Genomic DNA, 27,397 nt, shown 5'->3' on the forward strand with positions numbered 1-27,397 from the left:
ACCTCAGCCTGAGCCTGTGCGAGTGGTTGGACTCGTTGGGCTATGAGACAGAGATGTGGACTGGTCATTACCATCCCTGAAGTCACCGTTTCCTCCTCCTTCTGGTCTAAAGTCCTCCTTTACCCCCACTTTTAGAAGCAGCCTCAAAGCAGGGCCTGCCTCTGGCTTCTTTCCCAGGTGATTCTGAGCTTAAAGAGTCCCTGGCTCAGGTTGGTGAAGGTTGAAGGTATTGAGAATGGCCTGGAGAATGGGTGTAAGCAGCTTAGGAAAAAACAGAGCAGCCCGGAAGGGGACATCAAGTTCACTGCAACCAAAGGAAATGCCTCTCCTCAATGAAGACTCCCCTGATTTAGAATTGACCTTAGTTTTCATATATGCTCACACAGCCTTCCTGACCTACTCACCATATTGGTCAAGAAAACTAGAACAGGCAAAGAGGTCAAACAGGTAGCAAGCAGTTCCTAGGATATGTCTTAGCCACATAGCTTCCTAAATGTGTCTAAAGACAGCAGATGCCAGCAGACCCGGGCTATGTGCCCTCTGAGTTTGTAAAGGTTACCTGTGGAATGAGCAGAATGGTCTAGCCTCTAGGTTGTAACTGTTTTTAGTGACCCTAGAAGAAAGCTGGTAAAATCCAAGCTTCAAAATTGGAAACAGGAGTACTGGCTGGGTATTAGATAATATTAAGGAATTACTGCTAATATTCTGAAGTGTGGGGCCAGGCATGGTGGCTTATGCCTATAATCCCAGCACTATGGGAGGCTGAGGCAGATGGACCACTTGAGCCTAGGAGTTTGAGACCAGGAACTTAAGACCAGCCTGGGCAAGACAGCAAGATCCTATCTCCACCAAAAAACAAAAACAAAAACAAAAAAACGCCAAATAAGCCAAGCATGGTGGCATGTACCTCTAGTCTTAGATTCCTAGGAGGCTGAGACAGGAGGATCACTTGAGCCTGGGAGGTGGAGATTGCAGTTAGCCGAGATCGCAACACTGCACTCCAGCCTGAGCAACACTGAGACTGTCTCAAAAAAAAATAAATAAATAAAATAAAAATTAAAAACTAAAAAAATAGGCCAGGCGCGGTGGCTCACGCCTATAATCTCAGCACTTTGGGAGGCTGAGGCAGGTGGATCACTTGAGGTCAGGAGTTAGAGACCAGACTAGCCAACATGGTGAAACCTCGTCTCTACTAAAAATACAAAGATTAGTTGGGCATGGCAGTATGTACCTATAGCCCCAGCTTCTTGGGAGGGTGAGGCAGGAGAATTGCTTGAACCCTGGAGGCAGAAGGTGCAGTGAGCTGAGATCCAGCCTGAGTGACAGAAAAGAAAAATTAGCGGTGCCTCACGCCTATAATCTCAGCACTTTGGAAGGCCGAGGTGGGCAGATCACAAGGTCAAGAGATCGAGACCATCCTGGCCAACGTGGTGAAACCCATCTCTACTAAAAATACAAAAATTAGCTGGGCATGGTGGTGGGTGCCTGTAATCCCAGCTACTCAGGAGGCTGAGGCAGGAGAATCGCTTGAACCAGGGAGTCAGAGATTGCAGTGAGCTGAGATCGCACCACTACACTCCAGCCTGGACGACAGAGAGAGACTCCATCTCAAAAAAAAAAAAAAAAAAAAAAAAAATTAAGTGTGATAATGGTATTGTGGTTATGTTTTTCAGAAAGACTTTATCTTTGAAAGGTATTTATTGAAATGATGTGATATCTGGGTTTGCTTTAAAATCATAGGGAAGGGGGTCAGTGTGAGGGAGGTGAAATAAGATTGGTCAGGAGTTGATGGTTGCTGAAGTTCATATTGAAGGGTATTGGGTGCATGCAATTCACTTTGCAATTATTGCTACTTGTATATATATTTAAAATGATCAACTAAGAAAATTTAAAACTTTTTTTTAAAAAAGCTTCATTTTTTGTCTGCCCTACACAGTCTGCAAATCACAGGAGGAAATTCTGGGGGACTGGATTAATGATTCTTAGCCTAAAGGGACAGAGAGAAAGGAGAGCAGCTACAGCGAATCCCAGGCAGGAGCCATCTCAGGGCAAACTGACAGGAAGCTATCCTGCAGGTTTCTTGCTGGAACAGCCCTCCCTGGCTGCCAGCCAGTCACCAAGTGTTCAAACAGGAGCAGCCCCTGTAAAAATACCACGAGTGTTAGTCAGCCTCACCTGCGAGACTTCGGCACTCAGGTTGGCCTCTGTCCACACATCAGAGGCCTCGGAGCTCATCATGGTGGGCTTCACGGCAATTGTGGGCTTGGAGTAAGGTGAGCTGTTCACACCTTCATCTTCCAGGCGGCAGTTCTCAGGCCTGGGAGGCAGGCGCGGTGGAGGGGGCAGGCTGCCCGCTCTGGGCTGGGGAGGGCCGGCCACCAGCTGGTGGTCGCTCCGCAGGCAGAAGCAGTTCTTGCAGGACCCGGGTTTCCAGATGTGCTCCACAAAGTCACTGCACGCAGACATTTTCAGGCTCTCGGGGTTCAGGCAGAGGGTCTGGTGCATCTTGAGCCGACAGGGTGCTGGTTCATCTTGCGCCCGGCTCTCTGGTGCAGTTTTGTGGGATTCAGAGGTGGGTCACAGAGCGGCTTCCTAGAAAGGCAGGACAGTTTCCTGATTAGAGATTTGCCATGCCAGACAATGGGTGCATTATCAATTAGAGTCTCACTATTTGATCAGGGAGAAGGAGGAGAAAAAGGTAAAGATTAGGATCCCATTTATTTTGGGACCCTCGCCCATTTGTCACAAGGCTCTTAAACATTCTCTGGTGGTGTGGCCTTATCAGAAGCTGTAAAAACTAAACATAGCCTTGTTGCTTTAAAGGAGTAAATAAAAGACATTTCGGTCCCCTAAAATCCTGGGTGGGGAGTCCCCTAAAATCCTGGGAGGTTTTGGGCAGTTATGGGAAGAAATCACGTAGGGTTTAAGATGAGAAGCTGGTACGTCATCCATGTATTCCCTGACACCGGGGCCTAGAGTCTGGGACGCTGACCCACAGAAACAAGAACTGTCAAGCAGTACAGCAAATAAAAACAATGGCTTTTGGAAAATAATGTTTGACCAAGAACTGTGTGAGAGGGGAGGCAGCTTTAGGCCCTGAAAGGTGCATTGTAATCCACACTTCCAACCAGGTGGAGAAAGGAATGGTTGGGAAACGGGAGAAGTGGGGTGCTGGCCTGTCCTCTAGACCTTATGCAGAGTCTGGCATCTTGAGAAATATCCCTTGCTTAATATACATTACTTGACCGTGTGCTGCTGAGGTCCACAATGCTGGGTGTTATAGGCCAAAGGGGCAAACCAGTAGTAAGACAAATTCATGGTCAAAGGTGGCTGGATAGATGATAAGAGAGAGAAGAGATTAACGAAGAGCTATTTCCAAGTGATGGCTCTGGAGAGAAGGCAATTGGCTTGCTCAAAAAATTCATTGCTTCTTAGAGTAAAACTGCAAGTAACAGTTTGCACCATGGTCCCTTGTAAATTCACCACTGAGAAGGAGCTCAAAGAGTTGCAGCCATTAACCAATTACCTTGAAATCATTCCATCAGGTAGCTGTTGTCCCAATTTTACAGGTGGGGAAACTATGGCAAACACAAGAACTTGGACCAGCCCATAGACACGGGAGAGTTTGCCCATTCTAGAAACAGAAGCCAACTTTGCAGGCGGCTCCTCCCTGCAGTGGTGATTTGCGCATTGCTCCTGGCTCTTCTTAGCCTATTTAAAATAAACTGACTTCCCATAAGGAGAATGTTCAAGAGCAAAATCTTCCTTAAGAACATAAGGGTGAATAGGTTCTCATTAAATAGGGACCATTTTGCCTTAGGGTTTTCTCTCCACTTTCCTCCCATAAGGATCTGCCTTAAGTTTGATAATCTCTAAACTGTCAACAGGACTAACCAGGTGGAATGAGCCGGGTACCCCAAAAATCATTCCAGAGTGTTTGTGGGAAGTGCTCTCTTTTATCTCCACACTCATAGACAGGGGTGTTCATTCAACAAGTGCTGAAGCTACGTGTGCCTCTTTTCCCTCCAAAGTGAAAAATGGGTTGAGGCCAGGCGCGGTGGCTCACGCCTGTAATCCCAGCACTTTGGGAGGCCGAGGCAGGACGATCGCTTGAGCCCAGGAGTTTGAGACCAGCCTGGGTAACACAGAGACACTCTGTCTTTACAAAGATAATAATTATTTAAAAAAACTATCCAGGTGTAGCCATGCATGCCTGTGGTCCCAGCTACTTGGGAGGCTGAGGTAGGAGGACTGCCTGAGCCCAGGAGGTCAAGGCTGCAGTGAGCCATGATCACACCACTGCACTCCAGCCTGGGTGACTAGAGTGAGACCCTGTCTAAAAAAACAAAAAAAAAGTTAAGAATAAAGCCCACTGCATCTTTAAGCTAAATAAATCCTCTGAAATAAAAGAAAAGTATCTTTTAGCAGTTATTGTTAGGGTCTCACAGGTCCTTTTCTTTAAGAAGACTGTTAGCTAGGTTCTTCTCCTCCTCCAAATACACCCAAGTAGCAGGTTCCTTCTTTGCCAAGTTCTCCAGAAGAGGTCACTGGGCTTCAACAAGCGGAGGAAATAGCCAGGTTTTGTCTTTCTCTTATAATCTCAGGCCACAGAGAACTGTAGCCTTGCTGCTAAGTTTTGGGAGGGGGAAAAAGCAGAGGAAGTATTCCAGCCTTCAGGAATAGGCAGTAGGTCCCTTCCTGGGACGCTGATGGGTGAAGACTGTCTACACCTTCTAGGCCACAGAAAGGACACTGTCCAGCCCACCTCCACTGCAGGCAGATGCTCCCATGCCTGCTCCGCGGGATGGAGGAAGACAGTTTGGAAACCAGCTCTGTGTGGGCTCTGCAAGTTCCCACAGCTCCTCCTGACACTGGGCTATCTGAGGAGGTGGGTGCCCAACCACTTCCTCAGGGTCTATCACAGATTCACAAAGCAGCAGTTCTGCTTGGCGACTTATTGCCTCCTCAACAGGCAAGTAAGAACACAAACTTGTTTTTGCGGAAGGGGTGACATTGGTATCAGAGGCCCTACTTTCTAAGATTCCCCAACCTTTGCACAGCCCTGTGCAAAGGGAGTGTGGAAGGATCTGGATTGCTAGCGTGGGGGAAGTTTCCTTGAGAATGTCTCATCAGTTTACGAGCACTCTTTGCTCCCATTCTCAGCTCAGAAATCCTTGGATGTTTAGAGAGGCAACTTTCATCACACGACTGCCAGGGACGGATGGACGCAAAGATTTTTAAAGGGAAGTCATTGAATAAGAAAAGAACAAATGAAGCCCTGGGCTTCCCACTGTCATTGACTCACTGCATCCTGTTAAAACTGGTTTCTCAGTCGCAGCAAACAGAATTTACCACCGCATGCAGCCAAAAAAAAAAAAAAAAAAAAAAAACCTCTTTTCCCGTTGCACTTCTGTGCCTGGAATTATCTCCTATTTGTTTTAAGTAAAAGATGGTGAGAAACACAAGTGGCACCCACAAAGCCTTGCCTCGCCTTGCCTGGTGCAGCAGTGCCAGCTCTCCACAGCATGGGGAAGGCACTTCGCAGCCCACATTCCTTACTTCTGAGGGGAGGCAGCCCCCAGAATTATGCAAATCCTCCCCATTTCAGTAGGAGGCTGCAGTGTCAGATTAGAAAAAAGAGCTCAGCATTCTTTCTGATCCAAGTCATGAAAAAAATGTCTTTGCCTCTGCAAACTTCTGCACTAGATTTGTGGCTACAGTTTGCAAGACTGAAGCTGTCAGATACACTCCCACCCCATTTCAAAAAAGAATCTGAAGAATCAAGGTGGCCAGATCTTTAAGATTAAATATTTTGGCCCAAAATACCCCCTCAGACTTACATCAGAAGTTGCTTATGCCTTATTCTGAAGTGACAGAATTGCAGAAAACATTCACCTAAAATTTTTTTCTGTATGTTACAGTTAAATTAATGCAACGCCAGTAAAAGGAAAGAAATATGTGTGGAAAGTGTCTGAACTTCAGCACACTCCACTGGCCAGGGCTGACCAGGCAGAAAGGAGAAAGTGACAACTTTACCACCCACTAGCCCCCTGCCTCCCTACTCACGCAGAGGGTAAATTACGATATTCACCCAACTTTTCCTTTTCTTTTTTCTTCCTCCAGTGCTGGAGGAAAGAAAATCTCAGAGGGAGGAATGTGGTTTTGCACCCACTACAGTCGAAACCAACCAGACCTCAGGAGAGAAAAATAACTGCGGAATTCCCTAGGGCTTTCTGTCAAATTTTCTTCTCAGAAAGGGAAGGGGAGAGGAGTTGTTAAGAATAGTTCAGGCCAGTGATCAGGAAAGCCTTCTGAGCCTGACTCCGCACTGAATGCATCGCCAAAACTCCTCGCCCCTAGACCATTGGGCTTTGCTATCGGCTCTGCAAAACCATGTGCAGGGAGAGCTTACCTGAGAGAAACGCACACACCGTGAGCTGGCGCTCTCCGCTGCGAATGCCCGGCCGCCTCCATGCCCAGCAGAGGATTCTATGTTCTAAGTGTGTGTGTCCCCGGATACCAGCAAAGGTTAATAACGTGCTCACAGCATGCGTTTCAGAGGGCTCAGCCAGGGCTCGGGGAAAAGGGCATCATCTCGTTGCCTCTGGAGCCCCGCTGCTGCATACCCTGCACCCCCAAACCATCCCCCCGGGTCCTGGTCCCAGCAGCCAGGCGGCCTTCCGTCTCTCCCCCTTGACAATACTCTAGCGGTGGAAAGCAGTCCTCAAAGCGCTTCAGCCTCCGGCCGCAGACAGAGCAGCAAGACCAGAGAAACCATCCTAACAGTCGGTCCTCCCTCCTGGAACTCGTAGGAAAGTTTCCCCGTTTTAAAGAGCGCGATTCTCGAATGAATCAAAAACACCCTCCAGCTCCTCGGTCCTCCCGGCCGGGCGCCTCCCTGCACCTCGGGCACCACCCGGGGCTCACGCGGCCCCGGCACTGCCCACTTCCCGAGCGGTCGCCTGTCACCCCGGGGGTAGCCCGCTCGGCGATCGCAGCGCCCCTCCAAAGCTCCCCTCTGCGACCACGCTCGCCAGACAAAAAGAGGCCGAATTTGGAGAGCGCGTCGCGGGCTCACCTCTGGGCTGCGCTCCCCCGGCCCCTCCGTCGGTCTCCGAGCCGCCAGCCGCCCGGCCGGAGCATTGTTCGCAGAAGGTCTGCGCGCGGTGCGTGCCCGGCCGCGGGCGGGTGGCTTCTGCCTGGGCCCGGCGGCCGGGTGGCAGCTGTGAGCGCGGCTCCGCCCCCTCCGCCTCCGGTGACGCCGCCCGCCCCAGCTCACGCCGCACCTCCGCAGTCCCTGCCGCCGCCCGGCCCCGCCTGGCCCGCGCGCCCCGCCGCCCGGCTTGCGCCTGCCGCTCCCACCCGGCGGTCTCCTACCCCCAGGGCCCCGACTCCTCCAAAGTCTCCAGGCCCCGGGACTCCCTCTCTTGCCCACCCTCCCGCCCCGGACCGGCAGGCTCCGCCCCCAGCCCCAGACTTGGCGCGGGCTGACCCCCGAGCCCAGCACCCGTTTGCACCCCCTCCTCGGTGGGGACCCTGCACAGCTCTGGAGGGGCGAGCTCTGGCGTTGCAATCCTCCTTTTGCCATCATGCGTGTATAGGTGCCCGGCATCACTTCATCCAGCCGGCCCTGCGGGACCCTGGGAAGAGAGGGAGAAGGAAGGGGAAACGAGGAAGTGTGGGGTCGGGAGTGGAATACAGGTCAGGGTCCGAGGCGGGCTCTGAAAGCCACGTGAGCACAGCGAGCCTCAGCTCTCCCTACCTCTGGGAAGAGGGTGGCGCCGGAGGGAGCAGGGCTGGAAGTCCCGGTGGCGGATTCCAGGTTCCGCTCAGTCCCTGGACTGCAGGATTCTGGCAAATTGCTTAACCTCTTTGAACTTTAGTTTTCTGGATGTAGAATGCAAGCGTTGCACTGCAGGGACCTGGCCTTCTACCATGCTGGGACATCCAAGTCTTCCGCAGGCCAGTAATACACCTGTGTTTACACCGTTTCCAGTGAGTCATTCACTGAGATAGAACGAGTTCGAGATAGTCCTCGGGCTAAAAAAATCTTTTCACTGGGAGTATAATAGCTTAAGACCCAGTCAGTCCTGTAGCTTGACCTGGGTGTTTACTCGGGGAGCCAGGGCTATGGTCACCTCCCAGGGCCATGCCGGGTGGGAAGAATTCAGTGAAATGGAATAGGAAGAGGACCCCCCTCCCCCACAAAACAATACCTGCGGCTTCTCTCGCCCTCTATCCCCTCCCCAGGAAGGCAGTTTATTTTGACTCCAGTGAAGGTCCTCTGCCAGTCAGCCTGCGAGCCCCCACCCACTGAGAGGAGGAAGATGGGCCCCCACCCCCACCCCCAGATCCCTGGCTCTCCTCTTTGCTGCTGTGGGTGTGGACAGAGAGGGAAGATGTGTATTTGAGGTTTGGCTTCTGTGTGAGGAAAGGGAAAAAAGGATCCAGGGAATTCTTCCTCATGTTCCAGTGACACCCATGCCTCCTAAGAGGACAGAATCTGGGGGAAGCTGTAGAGGGATGGGAGTGCAATGGACATTCCTTAAGGACCTACCCAGCGCTAAGCAATCCTATGAGGAGAGCATCATTATCCCCATTCTACAGATAAGAAAACTGAGGCTCGGGGGCCTCACAATTTGCTGGGGTTCCTCAGCTGAAAAGTGGTAGTACTAAGATTGGAACCAAAGGCTGTCTGGCTTCGCTGGTAGGCAAGTCTACTCTGCCACTCTGCCCTTGCCAAGTGCAGGTAGTCCAGCCCTATTTTTCTCTCTCCCCTAAGTGGAGAGAAATCATTTGAACAAATACTGGCCGTGCGCGGTGGCTCACACCTGTAATCCCAGCATTTTGGGAGGCCGAGGCTGGCAGATCACCTGAGGCCAGGAGTTCAAGAACAGCCTGGGCAATGTGGTATAACCTCATCTCTACTAAAAATACAAAAATTAGTCGAGTGTGGTGGTGGGCGCCTGTAATCCCGGCTACTCAGGAGGCTGAGGCAGGAGACTCACATGAGCCAGGGAGGTGGAGGTTGCAGTGAGCTGAGATCGCACCACTACACTCCAGCTTGGGTATCAGAGCAAGACCCTGTCTCAAAAAAAAAAAAAAAAAAAAAAGGAAGGGAAACTTTGGTTACACTTCATGAGCATCCAACAGAGCTGAAAGATCCAGACCCTACCAAGACTCAAGAGGGGAAGATGTTGATTAAACAGGTAGGTACAAAGTGGTCTGCAATGGAGAAATACAAAAGTGACTTCAGAAAGTGTGCAATTCATTTACACTGGGAGAGGGCAAACTAAGATGTTTGAGAAGTTCCTGGTTCTCAGGATTCAGGCTAAATGTTTCACTTCTTTCCTCTGTAAGAGAGACATTGACCTCACAGAATAAAGGCTGTGCTGAACACATAAAAGAAGCACTTACTTTTGCACTTTATTTTCTTCTCTTTACCTAACTTATTCTTTTTTTTTTTTTTCCTGGGATGGAGTTTCATCTTTCAATCAGGCTGGAGTGAAGTGGCAAGATCTTGTCTCACTGCAGCCTCCACTCCCCGGGTTCAAGCCATTCTCCTGCCTCAGCCTCCTGAGTAGCTGGGATTGCAGGCGGCCACCACCATGCCCTGCTAATTTTTCTATTTTTAGTAGAGACAGCATTTCACCATGTTGGGCCAGGCTGGTCTTGAACTCCTGACCTCAAGTTATCTGCCTGCCTCGGCCTCCCAAAGTGCTAGGATTACAGGTGTGAGCCACCGCGCCCGGCCCCTAATTTATTCTTAATACATGAACAGGCTAAAGAGCATAATTATAAGAGAAAGCCATAATGTGGCAAGACTTGTAGTTCTGTGGCATGGGGCAGTACTTGAAGGGTAAATTCAGTGTGTCTACAAAATAAAGTGTGTTCTTAAGTGGTTTGCTGTGCTCACACAAAGTAAATGCATTATACTGTAGTTGCTGACATATAATGTGCATCTTTTTAAAAGCCAGCAACATGGCCATAGAGACGACTTCATCTTGCCTAATGAAAAGAATCAAGAAACACTTCAAAGGAGTCACTGGGATGCACATAAAATACCCACACTCTTAGGCAGTGCTCTACCAGTGACTGTTAAGTATATGATATCCTCAGTCAAGCTACGGTAAGCTCATTCATTTTCATAAAGAATTCTTGCTTGAACTTCCAAACTGTACCCTGCAATGCAGTGTAATTTGTGTAGACACAGCATTCTGCTTCTAGCTACTTATCAGTCCATTTTTATGACACTTTTAACTGCAGGGCGTGGGCTCCCTGATACAGACCAGACCTTGAAGAACAGCAATTCCTCGTCAGAGTTTTAGTCCAGCGGCACCATTCCGTACAAGAGCAGTTATATTTTAGGAAACTGGGACAAGAGGTCAAGGCTGGGAGTGCTTCGGGGTGAGTAAAGTAAGGTAGTTTGGAATTAGGCAAAATGGCAGGATTAGGAAGGATGTGCCATTAAATTATACTGCAAAAATACAAGCTGGGGTATTGGAGAGGGGTCAGATAGTATGAAGATTGAGCCAAAGAAATCCCACACATATTATCTCCTCAGCCAGAGCATACATCTCAAATAATAGAGACATGCATCTCACCTAAAAGCGAGAACGATATTCAGTTTTCTCAACGAATATGTATTGAGTGACTTCTACTTATAAGCACTGCATGAGGTCCTACTGGGAAAAGAAAGACGAGTAAGAGCAAAAAAAAAAAAAAATAAGCTCTATGAGAGGAAGATAAGTCGGGGCAGTGGGGGTTCAAGGGAGAAACAGACAGAAGAAACACAGAAAGTGGCTCTATAGAGGAGGGGAGCTTTAGAAGATGAGAACGATTTCAATCTGTGGAGGATGGGGACTTTCCAGACTGAGACAATGTTATCTGCAAATGAATGGACGTGGGAGAGGCGGAAGACTTTTCAGAGGTTTTGCATTCTAGACTGGCTGGATCATGGTTTTTGGAGACAGGCCTGGAAATGGAGTGTGGCACTAGAAGAGAAGAACTTCGTTTCCAGGTGAGCCATCAAGAAAGTGTTGACATTTCCGAGCAGCAGAATGACATCACTAAGGTGGTTTTTCATTAGCTTTCTCTGGATCTTGTATCCCAGATGGATTAGGAAGTGGGAGAAGAGATTGGAGACAAGGAGTCTGGCTTAGCGTTCCTATCCCTGGTCCAGATGGCAGTTGATGTGTTTTGATAAGGAACATGGCAAGGGAAACAGAAAGAATGGATGGTGTGTGTGGTTTTGAGAGACATGAAGAGGGAGAAATGGGGATTGGTTACTTCGTGGATTCACTGTGAGCAATAATCTATTAACGAATAAAGCCTTACATTATGGAGCACTTACTCAGCATCACGCCCTGTGTGATCAGTGATGTACCTGGCTTTTCTCATGTAAGCCTCGCAGAAACACAGGAGTAGGTGCTATTACTGACAGAGAGGAAGGAATCAAAGGTGACCAGTAGAGTTTTAGCCCCTAGAGACCGGTAGAATGATGGTATCATTATTACAAACGGGAAAGTCACAGAATTCAGTCTGTGGTCTGTTGGGTTGGAAGTGTGTAGCCACCGTTTGGTGAATGAAGTCATCCTGCCAGAAGTGGTGTTTGGAGCCCCCAGAACAAATGAAGGGGTTGCAGGAGTATTGTGAAGAAGGCGCAAAAGTGATAGGAAGAGGCCAAGAATTGGGGGACCCAGGAATACAGAAGAGGCCATAAGAAAAACAAGAAGCATGACCCCTTCCCTTCCAGACCTTTTAAAATGCAGAGCAGTCTAAAGAGAGATCTCTTGTGGAGGACAAAAAGGCAAGAGATGTTATCACGGAAATTCCAGGTTCCAGTTAATTGCATGAGCCAGGGAGTGTCTGAGACAAGCTTAAGCTCTTAGTGACTTTGTTTATAGTAGCAGGAGGTTCTAAAGGACCCCATGGAAGAAAGGAATTAGATGGGAGGACAAATGGAATGGATAAGATAGGCTTGATACGGATGCTGATAGAAAAAAGGGGTATTTTGGCCAGGTGCAGTGGCTCATGTCTGGAATCCCAGGACTTTGGGAGGTCAAGGTGGGAGGGTTGCTTGAACTCAGGAGTTCAAGACCAGCCTGGTCAACACGGTGAGACCCTGTCTCTATTAAATTAAAAAATTAGCCAGGCACATACAGGTAGCGTGTGCCTGTAGTCTAGCTATTCAGGAAGCTGAGGCAGGAGAGTTGTTTGAGCCTGGGATGTTGAGGCTGCAGTGAGCTATGATTGCGCCTCTGCACTGCACCCTGGGCAAGGGTGAGACACTGACTCCAAAAAGAAAAGCAAAACAAAACAAAACAAAAGGGAGTATTTCATAAGGGGAGGAGGGTAATTGCAGATGGGAGAGGTTGGTGCCCTGGACGTCCTGGGCATCTGCTCCAGGCTTGAAAGCTAAGCCTGCCCTAGTGGCAATTTGGGTCCCAAAACCACCATGGAGAGGACTGCATAGGGAGGGAAGGAAAAAGATCTTTCAAAAACTTGCTGTGATGAGCCCTTCTAGCTTCCTTCTGTCCTGCTAGGAGATAACATTCTCAGCAAGCCAGTTAGAGCTTGGTCTAGCAAACGCACACAGCCCCACTCCTCTCTTTCCTCTCAGAGTGATAATCGGCTCTATCATTTGCCACCCCAAAGCTATCTCTTTCTTCTCTGAGGTGTGGAAATTCACATATCTTATCAGTTAATCCCTGTCCTTTGATTATGGAATCACATCCTCATGTCCCACCTTTTTTAAGAAAAACATATCCAACATCCCATTCTTCTCAGACATTAATTCTAGGCAGCACTATGCAAGATAAAACATTCTAAATAATTTATAGTATCATATTCCAAGCACTGAATAGATTTTTTTTGCCCAAACTGAAAGATATTATTTAAGTAATAACTACAGATGGTCAGAATATCAAACCACACAGGACTGAGAGCCAAAGGTTCAAGGTTGTTATGATCTTTCTTTTGTGCTCAAGCACCACAGAGCACAGATGTCAGTGGTGAAGAAGAAAAACACTTTTTTCCCCTTTTCTATATGTATTAGTCTGTTCTCACATGCTAATAAAGACGTACCTGAGACTGGGTGATTTATAAAGGAGAGGTTTCAGGGACTCACAGTTCTGCATGGGGCTGGGGAGGCCTCACAATCATGGCAGAAGGCAAATGAGGAGTGAAGTCACATCTTACATGGCAGCAGGCAAAGAGAGCTCGTGTAGGAAACTCCCCTTTATAAAACCGTCAGGCCCAGGCCCGGTGGCTCATGCCTGTAATCCCAGCACTTTGGGAGGCTGAAGCAGGTGGATCACCTGAGGTCAGGAGTTCGAGACCAGCCTGGCCAACATGGTGAAACCCCATCTCTGCTAAAAATACAAAAATTAGCCTGGATTGTGGTGGGTGCCTGTAATCCCAGCTACTCAGGAGGCTGAGACAGGAGAATCGCTTGAACCTGGGAGGTAGAGGTTGCAGTGAGCCGCGAAGGTGCCACTGCATTCCAGCTTGGTGACAGAGCAAGACTGTCTGAAAAAAAAAAAAAAAAAGCCATCAGATCTCATTAGACTTACTCACTATCATGAGAAGAGCATGAAAAAGACCCACCCCCATAATTCAATTACCTCCCACTGGGTCCCTCCTACAACATGTGGAAATTATGGGAGCTACAATTCAAGATGAGATTTGGATGGGAACACGGCCAACCCATATCAATATATAACTATATGTGGGTGTGCATTCAGTGACAGATACATTAAGTTTTTGCAAACGTCGTTTTTTCAAAATGTTACTGTTATGGGCTAAGTTGCGTGGTTCCCCCTACCTAACCCCCCAGAAAATAAATGTTGAAGTCCTAACCCCCAGTGCTACAGAATGTGACCTTCTTAGACGTAGGGTCTTTACAGATGTAATCAAGTTGAAATGAGGTCATTAGGATGGGCCCTAATCCAATGACTGGTGTTCATCTGTAGAGAGACATGAAGACAGCCATGTGAGGGGAGTGATGCAGGTACAAGCCAAGTAGCACCAAGAACTGCCAGCAAACACCAAAAGCTAGGAGAGGCAAGGAAGGCTTCTCCTCTAGGGTCGGCAAAGAGAGCCTGGCCTTGCTGACACATTGATTTGGGACTTCTAGTCCCCAGAACTATAAGACAATTTCTCTTGTTTTAAGCCACGCAGTTTTTGGTACATTGTTATGGTAGCCCTAAAAAACTAATAAAGGGGGCTGGGCGTAGTGGTACGTGCCTATAATTTCAGTGCTTTGGGAGGCTGAAGCAGGTGGATTGCTTGAGTCCAGGAGTTCGAGACCAGCCTGGGCAACATGGTGAAAACCCATCTCTACCAAAAATACAAAAAAAATTAGCCAGGCGTGGTGGCACTGCCTGTGGTCCCAGCTACTTGGTAGGCTGAGGTGGGAGGATCACTTGAGCCAGGGAGGTGGAGGCTGCAGAGAGCTGAGAAGGTGGAGGTTGCAGGGAGCTGAGATTGCGCCACTGTGCTCCAGCCTGGAAAATAGAGTGTGACCTTGTTTAAAAACAAAAAACAAAAAACCAAAAACCTAGCAAAGGAGTGAAGGTACTAAAATTAAAGTATGCCGGCCGGGCGCAGTGGCTCATGCCTGCAATACCAGCACTTTGGAAGGCCAAAGCGGGCAGATCACAAGGTCAGGAGATCGAGACCATCCTGGCTAACACGGCGAAACCCCGTCTCTACTAAAAATACAAAAAATTAGCCGGGCGTGGTAGCAGGCGCCTGTAGTCCCTGCCGCTTGGCAAGCTGAGGCAGGAGAACGGCGTGAACCTGGGAGGCAGAGCTTGCAGTGACCCGAGATTGCACCACTGCACTCCAGCCTGGGCGACAGAGCAAGACTCCGTCTCAAAAAAAAAAAAAAAAAAAAAATTAAAGTATGCCAATGATTGATATACACTAATGCTCTTAGTTAGAAAGTTAATATTTTTCCAAAAATCAGCTCATAAGGAAGTGGCATACAGGAGACATGTTAATGGCTGCTATGGGTGGAATGCCAGGCAGTTCACCACAGTAGGAAAGTGGGATATCCCTTTATTCTTTCTGTGGGAGCTTTGATTGGCCTACAAGGAGAATGGTCATCCTTTCATCTACAGCTCCCTCCTCCTCAAATGTTAGGGTCTATGGTCAGGAGAAAGGGCTTGTTCCTTAGCTGAACGGGCACATGAATGATTAGAAACTCCACCTCTACTTTCAGATAGTGTGGAGTGAGACATAGCTCAAAGCCCATCAAGAGACTACTCTTGGTCCACAAACACTTCTAGAGACACTTCTAGAGATGCATTAATGGATGGGGGAAACATTAGGGATCATCCAGGTCTGATCCTTCACTTCCTTTTTTTTTTAATTTTAATTTTAATTTTTTTTGAGATGGAGTCTCACTCTGTCGCCCAGGCTGGAGTGCAGTGGCTTGATCTTGGCTCACTGCAACCTCTGCCTCCCAGGTTCAAGTGATTCTCCTGCTTCAGCCTCCTGAGTAGCTGGGATTACAGGCTCCTGCCACCACTCCCAGCTAATTTTTATATTTTATTTTTAGTGGAGACGGGGGTTTTGCCATGTTGGCCAGACTGGTCTCGAACTCCTGACCTCAGTTATCTCCCCACCTTGGTCTCCCAAAGTTCTGGGATTACAGGCATGAGCCACGGCACCTGGCCCTGATCCTTCACCTTCACAACACTATTCTTCTGAGCTTTCAAGGTTGTTTGGTTTTAATATGAACTCAGCAATGAGTTAAGAATATGAAAATGAGAAATATTTAAGGAATTAATTCATGACTCCCACTGCTTGGCTTTCTGACTGAGCTGAGGTCAGAGTCTAAAAAAGCAAAGTATTTCACATTAGGAGGGGTCCCAAAGGGAAAAACTAATCCATCTGAAGAATCTGTTCAGTTACCCCAAAGAAAACCTCTCCATGGTACAGCCATTTTGGAAAAACAGTTTGACAGTTTCATAAAGATTAAACATAAATTTGTGGTCTGACCCAGCAGCCCCACTCCTGGGTATCTACCTAAGATAAATGAAAACACGTCCACACAAAGACTTGCACACAAATATTCATGCCGCATGATTTATAATAGCGAAAGAATGGAAGCAACCCAAATGTCCATCAATTAGTGAATGAATAAACAATATGTGATGGACCCATACAATGGAATACTATTCAGAAATAAAAAATAATGAAATACTGATCCGTGCTACAGAATGGATAAACCTCAAAAGCCTTATGCTAAGTGAAAGAAGCCAGACATGGCCAGGCATGGTGGCTCAAGCCTGTAATCCCAGCACTTTGGGAGGCCAAGGCGGGAGGATCACCTGAGGTAGGGAGTTTGAGACCAGCCTGACCAACATGGAGAAATTCCATCTCCACTAAAAATACAAAATTAGCCGGGGGCGGTGGCTCATGTCTGTAATCCCAGCTACTCGGGAGGCTGAGGCAGGAGAACCACTTGAACCCGGGAGGCGGAGGTCATGGTGAGCTGAGATCATGCCATTGTACTGTAGCCTGGGCAACAAGCGTGAAACTTCGTCTCGAAAAAAGAGAAAAAAAAAAGAAAGAAAGAAAAAGAAGCCAGACACAAAAGGCTACTTATGGTATTATTCCTTCTATATGAAATATCCAGAAAAGACAAATCTAGAAAGTAGAGTAGTGGTTTCCTAGGGCTGGGGGTGGTAAAGGGATATGGGGCTGGAGATGAACACAAAGGTTCCTGCTGCAGAATAAAAATGTCCTAAAACTGGATTGTGACAATGATTACTGAACTTGACAAACTTACTAAAAAGTATTGTAGACTCAAAATGGTTGAAATTTATATGTAAATTACATTTCAGTAACACTGTTTATATGAAGAGAGAATGTGGCAAGGCGCCGTGACTTATGCCTGTAATCCCAGCACCTTGGGAATCTGAGGTGGGAAGATCACTTGCGCCCATCCTGGGTAACATGGCGAAACCCCGTATCTACAAAAAAATACAAAAATTAGCCTGGAGTGGTGGTGCTCACCTATAGTCCCAGCTACTTGGGAGGCTGAGGTGGGAGGATCGCTTGAGCCCAGCTGCAGTGAGCCATGATCACAACACTGTACTCCAGCCTGGGCAACAGGGGTGACCGTGGAAAGAAAAGAAAAGAAAAGAAGAGAAGAGAAGAGGGGAGGAGGGGAGAGGAGGAGGGGAGAGGAGGAGGGGAGAGGAGGAGGGGAGAGGAGGAGGGGAGAGGAAGGGAGGAGGAGGGGAGAAGAGGGGAGGGGAGGGGAGGGGAGGAAGGGAAGGAAGGAAGGAGAAGGGAAGGGAGAGAGGGAGGGAGGAAGGAAGGAAGGGAGGGAAAGGTATATTATTCATGCTTAATATGCTACAACATGGATGAACCTTAAGAATATTATGCCAAGTGAAATAAGTCAGTCACAAAAGGATACATACTGTTTAATTCCACGTATAGGAAGGACCTAGAGTAGACAAATGTATGGAGACAGAATGTTGGTAGCCAGAGGCTGGAGGAGAGGTGAGTGGGGAGCTCATGTTTAGTGGGTACAGAACTGCAGTTTGGGAAGATGATAAGTATTCAGGTGATGGTTGCACGAAAATGTGCATGTACTAATGAATGCACCAATGTACTGTGCACTTAAATGGTTAAAATGAATTTTATCATGTTATATACACATGCGCACACACACATAATTACAACTAGTCACAATTGTAGTTAATATAATTAAACTATAATTATAGAGAGAGAGGCCACATATGTTTCTGTCAGTAAACTGTTTAAAGTTCAGGCCTATTGCTGCTTGATAAACCATGGATGAAAAATTGTCACATAATTTCTTGTGGCTCAACAGTCCCATCCCTGAATGTTGCTTTTCCCTCTGTCCTTCCGGAGGTAGCTGTGTATTTTCGGTTTTACTAGGTCAGTAGACTTCAGTCCGTCCTGACTTCTGGGTGGTTTTTGTTGACTTCTACAAGAAGGCTTCTGTGTGATGTTACCTCTGAGACCTAAATGTGCCAAAATCCAGCTGTGAAAATGTCATGACATGGACCATCTCTTAGGGCGTTTTACTTGCAAAAGTAAACCGATGCTCTAAATCAAGTTTTCCTGAGGCCTGCTTGTTCAGTGGCAGGAAAAGGAAAGTTTCTATTTATCTAAAAAGAATGTGTCATTTGCCATTTTTAATAGTTTTATAAACCTGTTGAAAAATGGTGTTTCTTTGACCTATTCATCCTTGAAATAGAGTGGCCTTCTCTCTTTCCCTTTTTTTTTCTTATGGTTCTTATAATAAATATAGCCATAAAAGGATTTTTTTTTTCTTTTTGAGACAGGGTCTCACTCTGTAGCCCAAGCTGGAGTGCAGTGGTGCGATCTCGGCTCACTGCAACCTCCGCCTCTGGGGCTCAATCGATTCTTGTGCCTCAGCCTCCTGAGTAGCTGGAACTACAGACACATGCCACACACCCAGCTAATTTTGTGTATTTTAGTAGAGACAGGGTTTCACCATGTTGACCAGGGTGGTCTCGAACTCATGAGCTCAGGCGATCCACCCACTTCACCTCTCAAAGTGCTGGGATTACAGGCCATGAAAGTATTTTAAGACAATCCTTTGGACTCTTAGAGCATTTTGCTAATAAAAAGCATTGAGGAAATCCCATTTTGATACAACACAAGTAACTCTGGGAAAACTTATTTCTCTGCATAGTACACCAGACGGTAAAACCCCCCAAAAGACATAATTTGCTTCCTCTTTTTGAGTTTCTGAGAGCACTAATTCGGTCATGAGACAGATGTCTGATTTCCGCGTGGGGTGGAGTGGGACGAGGTGATAGTGCAGAGCAAATAAACCTCCCCTTTAGGGCCTGTGGATACGTGCAGCCTTCCTTCAATTTCAGATCCACGGTACGTGATTGACATAGATTAGTTATGACCTACCTATGCCAACCCCAGAGCCTTCTACAAACACTGGCTCTTATTAGCAAATTACTTCTCCCCCAGTCACGGTGCATAGAATTAACATTCTCATTTTCCATCTCAGGAAATTGAGGCGGGGAGGACTAATAGAGTCAAACAGTCAGTTATCAAACATAGAAGATTGGAAGAAAGTGACCTATTTGTCTTCCAGATCCCCTGTTGAAACTCTCTAAAGGCACTGCACAGTGTCACCACTGTTGGACTTTGTTTAGTCAGAGGATGATCTCCTTGTGTATTTATATTCCTAACTGGTTCTGATGGGGAAGCCATACAGTAATGGCCATACATTATCGTATGGCCACACCATATAATAATGGTGGCTGAGAGGCTTCCGGAGAGACACTTGGTAGCATGTCCAGTGGTCACAGAATGTAGCAGGGTCAACAAGTTTTGCAGCCACCAATGAATGGGAGGAGGGGGCGCCATGTAGAGGAAGGAGGAGGGGAGCAAAACTTGGACTAATTTCCTGGAGAGCCACAGGCCTTGTTAAGGAATCTTTAGGATAATAGCTCTTTTGACTGGCTGTTGGTTTTTTTTCTCTTTTAGAAGTAGTAGTAGTGGTTGGCTGGGAGAGAGATATGCAGAAAGCTGGGTAGGAAGGCGGTCAAAAGACATGTGATGGGGCTGATTAACAAGCAGGCTTTGTAAGCTGGGCTGCGGGGACACCTGCAGCTCTTGCAGACAGGCTTGCCCAGTAGGGGTTGTTTGAATGAGAAAACAGCTTCCAAAAAGATGTAGCACAAGAGCATAAAAGGAAAAGAAAAATGTGCATTTGTGAGATGAGGGAATGGTAGAGTTTTATCTTGGGATTCTCCTTTAAATGACTTTCATTATCTAATATTCTCAACCCTAGGTCAGCATCACAAGACGCATGAAAGAGGACTCATCGCCAGGGCATGGAGCTGGTGTTTTGATCAAAATGGAATTTGCTCTCAAATAGACATGTATTCACTAATCTCCTTTCTTTTAAATAAGTAAATAAAACAAACACAAAATCTCTTCCAGCTCAGCTGACTAAGTCCTAGTGGGGATGACAGCAACATTCACTTGCAAGATCCCACAGAGCTAGTGTCCAAAATGAAAATAAATGTGACTTTTCATATCAAGGCAGAGTGTTGCTTTGTTTGCAATTCAGTTAAAGAACAGGCATTACAATGCTATTGTGCTACGAGATGCACATCTTTGGGGCTCTAACACGGCGAAATCTGTGCTTGACAGATGGGCACCAGTATCTTAAGAGAGCCAGAAGGGCACAGTTCTTGGTTTCCAAGGAGCTAGGTTTGGGTGAGGTGGAAGTGGGGGAGCAAAGAAAAAAAATCCCCGTACCTCCCATGGTCAATCAGCTTAGACGGGATCCATTCCAGATGGCTGTGTCTTATATTCATTGATATTTCCCACAGCTAATAGAGCCTTGGTAAATAGCAATTGTGTGATCAATTTATATATATTAAATTCCCACTGAGATAGCTAAGTTACCAGATAAGGAGAACACTTGAATTTGATTTCAGCAGGACTTGGAAGGAATTAGGCAAGGGTGTCATCACTGTCACCTCCTGTCAACTCTGGAAGCTGAGTTGGATGCTTTTCCTTTCTTTTCTTTCTTTCCTTCTTTCTTTCTTTCTTGCTCTCCTTCCTTCTTTCTTTCCTTCCTTCCTTCCTTCCCTCCCTCCCTCTCTTTCTCTTTCTTTCTTTCTTTCTTTCTTCTTTCTTTCTTTCTTTCTTTCTTTCTTTCCTTCTCTCTCCTTCTCTCCTTCTCCCCCTTCTCCCCTTCTATCCTCTCCTTCTCTCCTCCTCCCATTCTCCCTTTCTCTCTCTTCCTTTCTTTCTCTCTCTCCTTTCTTTCCTTTCCTTTCTCTCCCTCCCCTTCTCTCCTTCTCTCTTTCCCCCTTCTCCCCTTCTCCCCTCCTCTCTCTCTCTCTCTCATCTTTCTCTGTTGCCCAGGTTGGAGTGCAGTGGTACAATCATGGTTCACTGCAACCCCAACCTCCTGGGCTCCATGAATCTCCCACCTCAGCCTCCCAAGGAGCTAGGACTACAGGCATGAAACACAACATGTGGATAGTTTTTAAATTTTTTTTGGAAGAGGTGAGATTTCATTATGTTGCAGAAGCTGGCCTTGAACTCCTGGGCTTAAGTGATCTGCTAGCCTCGGCCTCCCAAAGTGTGGGGATTACAGGCATGAGCCACAACACCTGGCTGGATGATTTTTCTTGGTGCTGCCATTAGCTTCAGTTTCCTTTTATATAAAATGCAGTTAGTGACACCTTCCTTAGAGGGTTGTTTTGGAAGTTACATAAGCTAAGTTATGTAAAGTGCCCAATTCAGAACCTGGCCTATCATATGCTCTCAATAAATGATGGTGCTAGGGCATTCATTAGAAAGTTAAATCCATTCCTTCGCTCACCAGCAGCCTTTGATCCAGGAAACACCTTGTGCCAGGCTCTGAGCAAAGCCCCGAAGATGCGGCAACAAGCCCAACAGATATGCTTCCTGACTTTCTGAATAGGACAGCATAGCGAGAGGTAGGGACACAACCAGATGCCCCCATGCATTTCTTTTTTGTTTTTGTTTTGTTTTGTTTTGTTTTGTTTTGTTTTGAGATGGAGTCTCACTCTGTCTCCCAGGCTGGAGTGTAATGGCGCCATCATGGCTCACCTCAACCTCCGCCTCCCAGGTTCAAGCCATTCTCCTGCCTCAGCCTCCCAAGTAGCTGGAATCACAGGCGTGTGCCTCCACGCCCAGCTAATTTTTGTATTTTTAGTAGAGACGGGGTTTCACCATGTTGGCCAGGCTGGTCTCGATCTCCTGACCTCAGGTGATCCTCTGGCCTCAGCCTCCCAAAGTGCTAGGATTACAGGCGTGAGTTGCTGCACCCGGCCACCCATGCATTTCTGATGACACATTGTGACAGGTGCTCTGAAAGGCCAGTGCACTATAAGGTCATAGAGCAGGGGGCTTTATATTCTAGGGAGTCAAGGCAGTTTTCCCTATCAATGGACATTGGAGCTGAGATTCCAAAGATCAGGGTTGACCCCTTGGAGTATGACACATGGGAAAGAGGCAGAAAATGGGCAAGGGTATCTGGTCTGTCATTTAATTTCACACTCCTAGAGGATCAAAATATTGCTGGCTGTGAACTTGGAAGAACTGAATTCCAGTGCTTTTTCTAGTATGTGAGTAGCTATTCTCTGGCATCACAGGGATGGGTTTGGAGGGGACACAGACAGTGCCGGGGAGAAGGTTAGGGGTCTGCAAGGAGGACACATGGCTGGAGGATTGTGGAGGTAAGTAGGAAGATGCCAGTGGAATACTGGAGCAAAGTGGCCAAGGAGCACTGGGCTGAGAGTCAGGAGGGCTGAATTCTTTCCCTGGCCAGCATTCTTATTTTACAGATGAAGAAAAAAAAAAAAAAAAAAAAACGGGCTCACAAAGACTGTGTATTTACCCAAGATATATGCACCTAGTAGGTGGTGAAACTTAGACTAAAATCTAGGCCTTTTTATTCTAGGTCTCTTGACTATACCACACGGCTGTCTGTAAAACGGAAAGCTTTAAGAAAACAACTGCTGGCCGGGCGCGGTGGCTCACGCCTGTAACCCCAGCACTTTGGGAGGCCAAGGCTGGTGGATCACCTGAGGTTGGGAGTTCGAGACCAGCCTGACCAATGTGGAGAAACCCCACCTCTACTAAAAATACAAAATTAGCTGGGCGTGATGGCTCATGCCTGTAATCCCAGCTATTCAGGAGGCTGAGGCAGGAGAATCGCTTGAACCCGGGAGGCGGAGGTTGAGGTGAGCCGAGATCGGGCCACTGCACTCCAGCCTGGGTAACAAGAGTGAAACTCTGTCTCAAAAAAAAAAAAGAAAAGAAAAAAGAAAAAAAAAAAAGGAAACTACTGCTAAGGTCCCTTCCAGGTCTAAATAAAGTATAATAGTATGGAATAGTACCTCCTCAAGAGCAGAAAAGAAAAAAGAAGAGAAAGAGAGAAAGAAAGGTAAGGTAAGAGAGGAAGGAAAGAAAGAAACAGAAAGGATAAAATAAGAGAAAAAATCCTTAATTTTCTCCATGGTCTTTTCCCTTTGGAATATATCCAATTTAATCATTTCTAGACCATTAAAATCCATGTCAGAGCCACCACCAGTAAAGCATTCTGTCACCATCCCACTGTAAGGGCAATTGCTAGGAGAGACGTGGGACTTCTCCGCCCTATCATCATAATGCTTATTTCAGCCAATGTTTCATTATCTGTGCCCAGTGCAGGCCAAGCCATGGAAACATGAACCCCTCCGAGAGTTCAAAACCGTTCTGAGTCATTAGCTCTAATATCCTCGCAGCTCCAAAAGCAACCGTGCTGGAGGTGCTCTGCTGAGCGCCATTCCCTTATGCATTTCCATGTTATTGTTTTGAGCCTATAGGTAAGAGCTTGGAAAAAGCACAAAGCAAAGAAACCGTTCACTTTGCACCAAGGCCATACAGCAAGTTCAGTCACCTGGCTGAAATTAGGCTCTCCAGGATACCAGAAAATGTCTTGCCCTTTTATGACTTGTGCCAAATCTTCTTCTGGCTGCTCCACATACAAAACAAATATACTTTTCCTGAAGGCCTTTTTGGCATTTCCTTAATCCCTAAGCCATAGCGACCAAAGACACCGTTCTTCATGCCAGCGTGTGCTTCCCTGCCAGCCTCTACCACCCGCACACAAGTTTTCTGTTAACGCTTTTGTAAAGAATTTAAATGTGTTGCCAGTTAAATGAGGTATTAAGGGCTCTGGGGTTTTTAATCTCCGGTTTTCTATCAGAAGAAAGGAATCATGGTAAAAATTGTGCTTTGCAGTTCTATTGGAATTTAAATATTTTCTGCATAAAATGTTGGTATCATCAACATCAAAAAGCCCAAACATCAACATCAACATAAAACCCCTCATTTTATAAAACAAAAGTTTCAAAAAGTGGAATCCACTTTTTTGGTGGAATAGACTCAGGGGTCACATTGAAACTCTTTATTAGTAATAAATTGCAACAGCCCTTGGGCTCTTGCTGTTGAAAGGGAAAGTTAGTGGTTTAGAAATGGAAAGCAAGTAACCAAAATTAAGATACTCTGATGTGCTACTACATACAAGAATAAACCATCTAAAAGGACAGCATATTAATAGTGCACTTATTTTTAGCCAAATCTACAGTAAAACAATCTTTTCAACACTTATCCCAAATTCTATTGTTTAAGACTTTTCTAGGCCAGGCACAGTGGCTCACACCTGTAATCCCAGCACTTCGGGAGGCAGAAGCTTCTGGATTACCTGAGGTCAGGAGTTCGAGACCAGCCTGGCTAACATGGTAAAACCCCGTCTCTACTAAAAATACAAAATCAGCCGGCTATGGTGATTCACACCTGTAATCCCAGCTACTTGGGAGGCTGAGGCAGGATAATTGCTTGAACCCGGGAGGCGGAGGTTGCAGTGAGCTGAGATCGTGCCACTGCACTCCGGGCTGGGCGACAGAGCGTGACTCTGTCTCACTAGTGTAGAAATGTACAGATTAGAAAGTACAATGGATTTACAAGGCAATCAAGAGAGACAATAAGGGGGCCAGGCGCGGTGGCTCACGCCTGTAATCCCAGCACTTTGGGAGGCCGAGGTGGACGAATCACCAGGTCAGGAGATCGAGACCATCCTGGCTAACACGGTGAAACCCCGTCTCTACTAAAAATACAAAAAATTAGCCGGGCGTGGTGGCGGGCGCCTGTAGTCCCAGCTACTTCGGAGGCTGAGGCAGGAGAATGGCGTGAACCCAGGAGATGGAGCTTGCAGTGGGCGACAGAGTGAGACTCCATCTCAAAAAATATATATATATATAAAAATAGAGACAATACGGTCAGTTTGTATTGATACACACATTACTTCGAAGAAAACTGGACACTTTTGAAGGATCAAGTGACGCTTTTTGGGTACTAGGCCATTAGAAAAACTTTCTTTTCAGAAATGCAATCTATGTTCTATGGAATCTCCAGCTTAAGACGTAACTCAAGAATGACTCAATGAGGTCTTGTCAATGGGGTTAGTAAACTCCACGGGTAATTTAAGAAAAGGTATTGCTAAGCCAGGCACGGTGGCTCACGCCTGTAATCCCAGCACTTTGGGAGGCCAAGGCAGGCGGATCACGAAGTCAGGAGATCAAGACCATCCTGGCTAACACAGTGAAACCCTGTCTCTACTAAAAATACAAAAAATTAGCTGGGCATCGTGGTGGGCGCCTGTAGTCCCAGCTACTCGGGAGGCTGAGGCAGGAGAATGGTGTGAACCCGGGAGGCAGAGTTTGCAGTGAGCGGAGATCACGCCACTGCACTCCAGTCTGGGCGACAGAGTGAGACTTCGTCTCAAAAAAAAAAAAAAAAGGTATTGCTAATCTTTGTGATGCTGACACGAGTCAGGGTGTGGACACATTCCTGGTTTCTCTTTATTAAGAGACCGACCAGGTGTGTATGAACCATGAGTTTATATTTATGCTTTTTGGAAAAATAAATATGTAGTCCACGTGTTTTAAGGTTAAGAAGCTTTTAGAACTTACAGCCTAATAAAAAAGAAAAAAAGGCCACGCACGGTGGCTCACACCTGTAATCCCAGCACTTTGGGAGGCTGAGGCGGGTGGATCAACTAAGGTCAGGAGTTTGAGACCAGCCTTACCAATGTGGAGAAACCCCGTCCGTACTAAAAATACAAAAATTAGCTGGGCGTGGTGGTGCGTGCCTGTAGTCACAGCTACTTGGGAGGCCGAGACAGAAGAATTGCTTGAACCCGGGAGGTGGGGGTTGCAGTGAGCCGAGATTGCACCACTGCACTCCAGCCTGGGAGATGGAGACAAAAAAAAAAACAACAAAAACCAAAAAAACCAAAAAAAAAAAAAAAAAAAGAAAAGAAAAAGAATCATAGTAATAAAAACAAAATAAATAGCTTAAGAAGTTCTATAAGGTTTCCACCTACTTTGCAAAGTATCAGTGTATTTTACTTAATCCAAATGCTGTGTTTTTCAACCTTCAGGGGGTAATCCTGCTTCCCCTTTGGGGTCCAGGGAAGCAATTCATATTCTCTAATCGCTTCTGCAGGATTTCCTCAAATCTCTCTTGTTCTTCTCTAAGCTTCAGTACATTCTAGACAACACCCCCTTAAACCCATCACCATTGATGGAATGTATTTACCCTCACCGATGGGTATTTGTTCCACGTTTTCTATTTTAGTCAGTTCTACCTTTAGAGTTCTTTACACACACACACACACACACACACACACACAGCATCTCACTTAATTTTATTCATCCTTCAAAGTTCATCTTAGGTCATTTCTTCCCCTCCTTTGTCCCTGTGTCCTTTCCTCCTTGGTCCAATGCATTCTGAATGTTTTTACCATTTACATTAATTCTTTTTTTTTTTTTTTTTAGACGGAGTTTCACTCTTGTTGCCCAGGCTGGAGTGCAGTGGTGCAATATAGGTTCACCGCAACCTCCTCCTCCCGGGTTCAAACCATTCTCCTACCTCAGACTCCAGAGTAGCAGGGATTATAGGCATGTGCCACCACACCTGGCTAATTTTCTATTTTTAGTAGAGATGGGGTTTCTCCGTGTTGGTCAGGCTGGTCTTGAACTCCTGACCTCAAGTGATCCACCCGCCTCGGCCTCCCAAAGTGCTGGGATTACAGGCGTGAGCCACCGCGCCCAGCCTACGTTGATTCTTTAATGTTTACTTCTCTACCTTCTTTTATTGTTCACAACCATTTTACAGGTTTCTCTCTTGCTCTTGTCTCAACAATAAGAGCCCAGAGGTCAGAAGTCCTGATTTACACCTCATATTGTGTGCCTCTTAACCTGTAGAGGTGAGCCGCACTATATGCCATGTGTCAGTCTTTGATGTTTCCCTGTCAATCTTTGTCCAGACATTGAGTTCAACTTGGTCCCTTTGCCAAGTTCATTTCCCACTCGGATCACTTGTATTGCTGTCTGTGCACACGAGGACATCTGAGATAACTATGGAAGTTGGTTATTTCCATATGAAGTTGCAGGAAAGGGGTTCAATGGATGATCATGTTGGTGGGTGAAAATGATGCAGTATATAGAACATCGACAGATTTCATGGAGGCATAGACCAAGAATTTCATTTTAACTTTGTGTGATAGAAGGGAAAATAAATATTTGTGATCAATTGGAGCCATTTCTGGCTGAAGCAGCCGGTTATTAGTCATTGCGAATTGATCCACTAGCTTTCTGGATTTTGTAGACTGTATGAGTCTCACAGGTTCATCCTCCCACTGACAGCATTCCTGACCTTCAGGGTGTCAATACAGTCTGGGTCCTCTGTCCTAATCAAATTCACCACACACACCAGGCTCTCATCACCACTTTTCTGAGTCAGTGGACCTCATTTTTTTCCTGAT

The 27,397-nt window shown here is 46.6% G+C and overlaps 1 protein-coding gene and 1 long non-coding RNA gene across 5 annotated transcripts in view, besides 4 other annotated features; one reads left to right on the plus strand and one right to left on the minus strand.

The window, feature by feature from the left end:
* PRAG1 (PEAK1 related, kinase-activating pseudokinase 1) overlaps nt 1–7,197 on the minus strand; it is a 68,704-nt gene extending 61,507 nt beyond the window's left edge. For 2 of the 3 annotated variants that reach the window (NR_163138.1, NM_001080826.3), the window contains exons 1-2: nt 7,079–7,197; nt 2,176–2,592 (exon numbers count right to left, since the gene is read on the minus strand). Coding sequence is in view for 2 of the 3 variants with exons in the window: in NM_001080826.3 (NP_001074295.2) it covers nt 2,176–2,505 (330 nt within the window). In the remaining variant the exon portion in view is untranslated. Of the gene's footprint in view, nt 1–2,175; nt 2,593–6,412; nt 7,003–7,078 lie in introns of those variants that run through there. The other variant, NM_001369759.1, reaches the window with a different exon arrangement.
* Nucleotides 1,818–2,340: an enhancer, noted in NCBI's record as "H3K4me1 hESC enhancer chr8:8238570-8239092 (GRCh37/hg19 assembly coordinates)". NCBI's record gives its function as "activates a minimal SCP1, AML or CMV promoter by ChIP-STARR-seq in naive H9 embryonic stem cells {active_cell/tissue: H9 hESC(naive)}" and the evidence as "EXISTENCE:reporter gene assay evidence [ECO:0000049][PMID:30033119]".
* Nucleotides 2,341–2,861: an enhancer, noted in NCBI's record as "H3K4me1 hESC enhancer chr8:8239093-8239613 (GRCh37/hg19 assembly coordinates)". NCBI's record gives its function as "activates a minimal SCP1, AML or CMV promoter by ChIP-STARR-seq in naive H9 embryonic stem cells {active_cell/tissue: H9 hESC(naive)}" and the evidence as "EXISTENCE:reporter gene assay evidence [ECO:0000049][PMID:30033119]".
* Nucleotides 6,900–7,579: a silencer, noted in NCBI's record as "silent region_18895". NCBI's record gives its function as "represses an Ori minimal core promoter by ATAC-STARR-seq in GM12878 lymphoblastoid cells {active_cell/tissue: GM12878}" and the evidence as "EXISTENCE:reporter gene assay evidence [ECO:0000049][PMID:35858748]".
* LOC105379222 (uncharacterized) lies at nt 10,322–20,084 on the plus strand. 2 transcript variants are annotated; one of them, XR_002956679.2, is made up of 3 exons: nt 10,322–10,407; nt 10,945–11,020; nt 19,832–20,084. It is a non-coding gene; the product is annotated as an uncharacterized LOC105379222 (long non-coding RNA). The 2 variants fall into 2 exon arrangements; XR_002956678.2 differs by having other exon boundaries at nt 10,326–11,020.
* Nucleotides 19,339–19,952: an enhancer, noted in NCBI's record as "OCT4-NANOG hESC enhancer chr8:8256091-8256704 (GRCh37/hg19 assembly coordinates)". NCBI's record gives its function as "activates a minimal SCP1, AML or CMV promoter by ChIP-STARR-seq in primed H9 embryonic stem cells {active_cell/tissue: H9 hESC(primed)}" and the evidence as "EXISTENCE:reporter gene assay evidence [ECO:0000049][PMID:30033119]".
* Nucleotides 20,085–27,397: the final 7,313 nt, after the last annotated feature.

This window comes from Homo sapiens, chromosome 8 (assembly GCF_000001405.40).
Source record: "Homo sapiens chromosome 8, GRCh38.p14 Primary Assembly".
Taxonomy (NCBI): Eukaryota; Metazoa; Chordata; class Mammalia; order Primates; family Hominidae; genus Homo; species Homo sapiens.